The 5,963-nt window shown below is 52.2% G+C and overlaps 1 protein-coding gene across 10 annotated transcripts in view, besides 4 other annotated features; it reads right to left on the reverse strand.

The window, feature by feature from the left end:
* Window positions 1-4,913, reverse strand: part of THOC5 (THO complex subunit 5) — a 47,879-nt gene extending 42,966 nt beyond the window's left edge. For 2 of the 10 annotated variants that reach the window (NM_001002877.2, XM_005261798.2), the window contains exons 1-3: window positions 4,827-4,913; window positions 1,884-1,999; window positions 208-314 (exon numbers count right to left, since the gene is read on the reverse strand). In NM_001002877.2, the coding sequence (NP_001002877.1) occupies window positions 208-303 (96 nt within the window). In that variant the 5' untranslated portion in view covers window positions 304-314; window positions 1,884-1,999; window positions 4,827-4,913. The other 8 variants (XM_047441559.1, XM_047441558.1, XM_006724347.2 and 5 more) reach the window with 4 other exon arrangements.
* Window positions 3,036-3,735: an enhancer, noted in NCBI's record as "H3K27ac-H3K4me1 hESC enhancer chr22:29947869-29948568 (GRCh37/hg19 assembly coordinates)". NCBI's record gives its function as "activates a minimal SCP1, AML or CMV promoter by ChIP-STARR-seq in naive H9 embryonic stem cells {active_cell/tissue: H9 hESC(naive)}" and the evidence as "EXISTENCE:reporter gene assay evidence [ECO:0000049][PMID:30033119]".
* Window positions 4,624-4,813: a silencer, noted in NCBI's record as "silent region_13592". NCBI's record gives its function as "represses an Ori minimal core promoter by ATAC-STARR-seq in GM12878 lymphoblastoid cells {active_cell/tissue: GM12878}" and the evidence as "EXISTENCE:reporter gene assay evidence [ECO:0000049][PMID:35858748]".
* Window positions 5,133-5,830: an enhancer, noted in NCBI's record as "H3K27ac hESC enhancer chr22:29949966-29950663 (GRCh37/hg19 assembly coordinates)". NCBI's record gives its function as "activates a minimal SCP1, AML or CMV promoter by ChIP-STARR-seq in primed H9 embryonic stem cells {active_cell/tissue: H9 hESC(primed)}" and the evidence as "EXISTENCE:reporter gene assay evidence [ECO:0000049][PMID:30033119]".
* Window positions 5,214-5,283: an enhancer, noted in NCBI's record as "active region_18816". NCBI's record gives its function as "activates an Ori minimal core promoter by ATAC-STARR-seq in GM12878 lymphoblastoid cells {active_cell/tissue: GM12878}" and the evidence as "EXISTENCE:reporter gene assay evidence [ECO:0000049][PMID:35858748]".

Genomic DNA, 5,963 nt, shown 5'->3' on the forward strand with positions numbered 1-5,963 from the left:
CTTGTTGGTTTTGGAGATGCTGCAGCTAAACCAGATGTGGACACTCAGCTTTAGTGAAGAAACAGGAATCCCAGTCACCTGGTCAAGTGGAAGCCACCAAAAAGTTGTACCTGGTAGATGCGACCCCGAGCTGCTGCAAACACACAGCCAGGTGCTTGGCCATGAGATGTAATTTCTCAGCAGCATGGCAACCCTGACTGATCTCACCTGCTCGGTGTCAGATCGATTCCGCTTTCCTTCAGCTGGGGCTCCATCGCTTCGGATCACTTTGGGCTTCCGTTTTTTGCTCGATTCTGATGACATGGTTGTTCCTCCTGTTAAGAGGAGAAAGTTTTTGAGATTCTTCTGGAGTCATAACACTGAAGTCAAACTAGCAGTTCTGGCCACTTACAGACTTGGTAACTCAAGGAAAGTCATTTAACCCCTCAAAGCCTCAATTTAACCCTCTGTAATACAACAGGGAAGCATCTCTCAGCCTGTCCAAAACAAACTCCACCTTCTCTTTTAAAAAGGCATCACCACCCACTCCCACTGACCTCGGAATCATCTACTTCAACCTCTCCCTGCCCTGCCTCCACCCACATCCTGCTCCACACTCTCCATAGAGGAGACCTGCATTCAAGTGTTCACCCAGCTATCCAGGCACCATGTGTGTCTCCATCTCAACACCCTAGGCCAGGCCCTCCACATTCCTCTCCAGGACTACTCTAACAGTCTTGCCCAACAATACTGTCTAAATTCTCTTTCTTAAAAAAGACCGACCTAATTAATGCCTCTCCTGTTTCAAAACCTTTGCTGGCTCTTCATAATGCACTGAATATCCATATTCCCTGACTTGTCATAAAGACCCTTGATGGTTTGTCCCCAACCTACCTTCCCAACTTCATTTCTTGCATTCCTATTCCTACCGACCTTCCCACTGTCCCCAACCTCTGCTCCTAGCTGCAACTGCACCCTGCAATCCCAGTTCCCCAAACACTCCATGTCTTTTCCCCTGCTTGCAAAGATCTTCCTTTTCCTCCCTATATCCTTCAAGACTAAGCAATGCTCATCTGCTCTAGGAAGCCTGTCAGGTCTCCCCAAAGCCCTCTTTTGGCTACTTTGGGTACACTATTAGGGAATTTATCTCTATGAATCATTTACCTGTCTTCCCACCTAGATTGTGAGCTCTACCCTCTTCCCCCTGAGCCTGGCAGAGTGCTCCATAAATTAGTATCCAAACTCCTCGGTCTGGCATTTAAAGACACTCCCAATACTACTGTGATCACTGTGTGCTGGGCCTTGATCTAACTACTTTATGGGTATGTTCTCATTTGCTCCTTATAACAAACTTTTCAGCTAAGAACTACCACCATTTCACAGATGACAAAACTGAGGCTCGCAAGGGGAATTACTTGCAAGTAATTGCGAGTCACATGACTAGTAGGCCAAAATCCGGATCTATCCAATCAATGCCATACTGGTGCTCTTAACTACACTTTTATGCCTCCTAGTCCTGCCAGCCTCTCATCTAGTGATGCCATTGACTCCCAGGTTGATCCTAGAATTTAAAGTATAGAACCTACATTTCATGGGGCTCTACAGTCACAAAGCATCCTCCCTTGTTGCCTCACCACAGCCTCCTGAGGTGGGCAGCACTGTCCCCTTTACCCTAATCCCTCTTGCTCTGTCACCCAAGCTGGAGTGCAGTGGCACAATCATCACTCACTGAAGCTTCCACATCCCCGACTTGAGGGAGCCAATAGTTTGTCACGGTAAAAGTCAGAGAGCCCTGAACTGGAATCTCCATTCTACTCTTTCATGGCTATGAGTCCCCGGACGAGTCACTTCACTTTTCTCTGGGTCTGATTCCTCACAAATCAAATGAGAATAACAGTCCCTACCACAGGGGTTGTTGTGGGCTTTAACACAGGAGGCATTCCACTGGGGAAGGTGATGAAGATGACCTGGGACTGTGGCTTCAGATGATGCATAGGTGATCTTAAATAATGCTGAACACCTAAGGAGAAAGTTAATCCCTTTTCAATTCTTATTTTGAAACTTCTGATTGCTTCAAGGAGAACATCTCAGTTCCCTAGTTTGTCTTTAACATCTATGAATGCCAATGTTCCTTTGTAACAAAAGAACTCTATCCCACAGCCTTAAACAACAAAATCTAGCCAGAGTTTGTTAACAATGATCTAGTTGCATTATATTAACTATATTAATTTTTACCTTCTACATAAAACAAGTGAAAGCAGCTTTCCATTTCTGGTGGAGAGATTTCAAGTTTTCTCTCAAAGTAAATTTGAGTTTAAAAAGTGACTTGGCTGGGCGCAGTGGCTCAGGCCTGTAATCCCAGCACTTTGGGAGGCTGAGGCGGGTGGATCACCTGAGGTCAGGAGTTTGAGACCAGCCTGGCCAACATGGTGAAACCCCGTCAGTACCACAAATACAAAAATTAGCCGGGAGTGGAGGCGGGCGCCTGTAATCTCAGCTACTCAGGAGGCTGAGGTAGGAGAATCACTTGAACCCAGGGAGCAGAGGTTGCAATGAGCCGAGATCGCAGCCACTTCACTCCAGCCTGGGCAACAGAGCGAGATTCAGTCTCAACAACAACAAAAAAAGTGACTGGGCCCAACACCATGGCTCACACCTGTAATCCCAACACTTTGGGAAACCAAGGCAAGCAGAGGTGAGAGAATCGCTTGAGCCCAGGCGTTCAAGACCAGAGTGGGCAACAGAGCGAGACCCCATCTTTAGAAAACATTTTAAAATTAGCCTAGTATGGCGGTGCACACCTGTGGTCCCAAGCTACTCTGGAGGCTAGGGTGGGAGGATGGCTTGAGCCCAGAAGTTCCAGGCTGCAGTGAGCTATGATCGCGCCACTGCACTCAGTCTTGACAACAGAGATCCCGTTGCAAAAAAAAAATTTGGACTGGATTAAAAATTTTTAGTAAACCCCTCCCCCTCCCCCCTCCCCCTCTCTCCACGGTCTCCCTCTGATGCCGAGCCGAAGCTGGACTGTACTGCGGCCATCTCGGCTCACTGGAACCTCTCTGCCTGATTCTCCTGCCTCAGCCTGCCGAGTGCCTGCAATTGCAGGCGCGCGCCGCCACGCCTGACTGGTTTTCGTATTTTTTGGTGGAGACGGGGTTTCGCTGTGTTGGCCAGGCTGGTCTCCAGCTCCTGACCGCGAGTGATCGGCCAGCCTCGGCCTCCCGAGGTGCCAGGATTGCAGACGGAGTCTCGTTCACTCAGTGCTCAATGGTGCCCAGGCTGGAGTGCAGTGGCGTGATCTCGGCTCGCTACAACCTCCACCTCCCAGCCGCCTGCCTTGGCCTCCCAAAGTGCCAAGATTGCAGCCTCTGCCCGGCCGCCACCCCGTCTGGGAAGTGAGGAGCGTCTCTGCCCGGCTGCCCATCATCTGGGATGTGAGGAGCCCCTCTGCCCGGCTGCCCAGTCTGGGAAGTGAGGAGCACCTCTTCCCGGACCCCATCCCGTCTAGGAAGTGAGGAGTGTCTCTGCCCGGCCGCCCATCATCTCAGATGTGGGGAGCACCTCTGCCCCGCCGCCCCGTCTGGGATGTGAGGAGCACCTCTGCCCGGCTGCGACCCCGTCTGGGAGGTGAGGAGCGTCTCTGCCCGGCTGCCCCGTCTGAGAGGTGAGGAGCCCCTCCACCCAGCAGCCGCCCCGTCCGGGAGGTGGGGGGCAGCCCCCGCCCGGCCAGCCGCCCCGTCCGGGGGGGAGGTGGGGGCCAGCCCCAGCCCGGCCAGCCGCCCCGTCGGGTCGGGGGTAGGGGGGCGCCTCCGCCTGGCCGCCACCCCGTCCGGGAGGTGGGGGGCGCCTCTGCCCGGCCGCCCCTTCTGGGAGGTGAGGAGCCCCTCTGCCTGGCCGCCACCCCGTCTGGGAGGTGTACCCAACAGCTCATTGAGAACGGGCCATGATGACGATGGCGGTTTTGTCTAGTAGAGAGGGGGGAAATGTGGGGAAAAGATAGAGAAATCGGATTGTTGCTGTGTCTGTGTGGAGAGAGGTGGACAAGGGAGACTCCATTTTGTTCTGTACTGAGAGAAATTCTTCTGCCTTGGGATGCTGTTGGTCTATAGCCTTACCCCCAACCCCGTGCTCTCTGAAACATGTGCTGTGTCCACTCAGGGTTAAATGGATTAAGGGCGGGGCAAGATGTGCTTTGTTAAACAGAAGCTTGAAGGCAGCATGCTCCTTAAGAGTCATCACCACTCCCTAATCTCAAGTACCCAGGGACACAAACACTGCGGAAGGCTGCAGGGTCCTCTGCCTAGGAAAACCAGAGACCTTTGTTCACTTGTTTATCTGCTGACCTTCCCTCCACTATTGTCCTATGACCCTGCCAAATCCCCTCTGCGAGAAACACCCAAGAATTATCAATAAATACTAAAACAAACAAACAAACAAATTTTTAATAAACGGTAGTAGAGGTGGTAAGTTGATCTGGCAAAGCCTACAAAGACCGGACCTGAAAGGCTTAAGTGTGGGAAATCCTGACTTTGGCAACACAGTAGAGTGCCTGGCACACCGAAGAGCACGATATATGTGAGCTGTTACCATCACCACCACCCCCACCCCCATCAGGCTACATTACCACAATCAAGAGGCTCCAACGTGAAGCCTGAGGATGCTGCAGCGAACACTTTTCGGATGAGGTAACAGCGCAGCGCCGAGAGGCCGGGGACCGCGGGTAGTGAGGGAGGAGAAGCCGGGTCAGACCCCAGCCCAGGGGCGCCCTTTGGGCGATCAGCACCTCAGTCCCGGAGCGCCCAGCCCCGCCCCATCTCCCAGCCCCACTGCCCTTGTCCCCTCCTCACCTCACAGCTCCAAGAACCTGGCACCGGGAGTAAGCCACTGCCGGAGGCGGAGCAAAGCTTGCCCGCGCACCATAGAGAACCGGAAGTAAGGAAGGGGCGGCCGACCGGAAGCGAGGCGTAGAGGCCGGAAGCTCAGCGCGGAGGCCCCCGAGGGAGGTGGTGGCGTGGTGAGACTGTAAAAACAAAGACACATGCTTCTCGTTCACTGTGCCCAGGGCCTAAGAGAGTGTCCAGCAGCTAGTGGGCGCTCCACCGAGTAGTTGAATTAATGTTGTGTTATGTCCAAGATAACACGAAAGAACCTGGTAGCGCGGCGGGGAAGATTTCGGCGCTAGAGGATTTGCCTGCATAACCTTACTTCTTAATTATTATTTTTACCATAATATGCCACGCCAGTGAAGGCAACAAGTCAGGGAGGGCATTAACCTCATTTTACACTTGGCTTTTTGAGGAGTGCATCACCAGTTTCTCCATTTTAGGCCTGACTTGCCCAGGACAGAGTCACAACTCTAACGCAGTATTTGAAAGCTTCAGGTATTTCCTACCCCTGGCATGAACTGTACAAACAAGGCCCAGGATTTTTTCGTGTAAATCCTCATCTGGAGCTAGTAACACGTGTCCTGAATCCCTGGTTGTACGGGGCCAGTTCCTTCTCCTTCCCAGGAGCAAGGAGGAAAATACTGGCTCTTTTTTATTTTTATTTTTATTTGAGACAGAGTTTTGCTCTCTCACCCAGGCTGAAGTGCAGTGGCGCAATCCCCGCTCACTGCAAACTCCGACTCCAGGGTTTAAAGGATTCTCCTGCCTCAGCCTCCTAAGTAGCTGGGATTACAGGCATGCACCACCATGCCCAGCTAATTTTTGTATTTTTAGTAGAGACAGGGTTTCACCATGTTGCCCAGGCTGGTCTTGAACTCCTGACCTCACTCAAGTGATCTGCCCACCTCGGACTTCCAAAATGCTGGGATTACAGGCGTGAGCCACTGCACCCAACCAGTACTGACTGTTGAGAATAGCTCAAGAACACAGTACCCTCCAGGAGGGTAGATCTGCCATGTGGGACTAAGCCCACCAGCTCTACTGTGCCCTGCCTCAGGCACCTGCTAAAGTTCCTTGCAGATGAAGAAAAGACACTGA

The sequence above is a fragment of the Homo sapiens genome, chromosome 22, assembly GCF_000001405.40.
Source record: "Homo sapiens chromosome 22, GRCh38.p14 Primary Assembly".
NCBI lineage: Eukaryota > Metazoa > Chordata > Mammalia > Primates > Hominidae > Homo > Homo sapiens.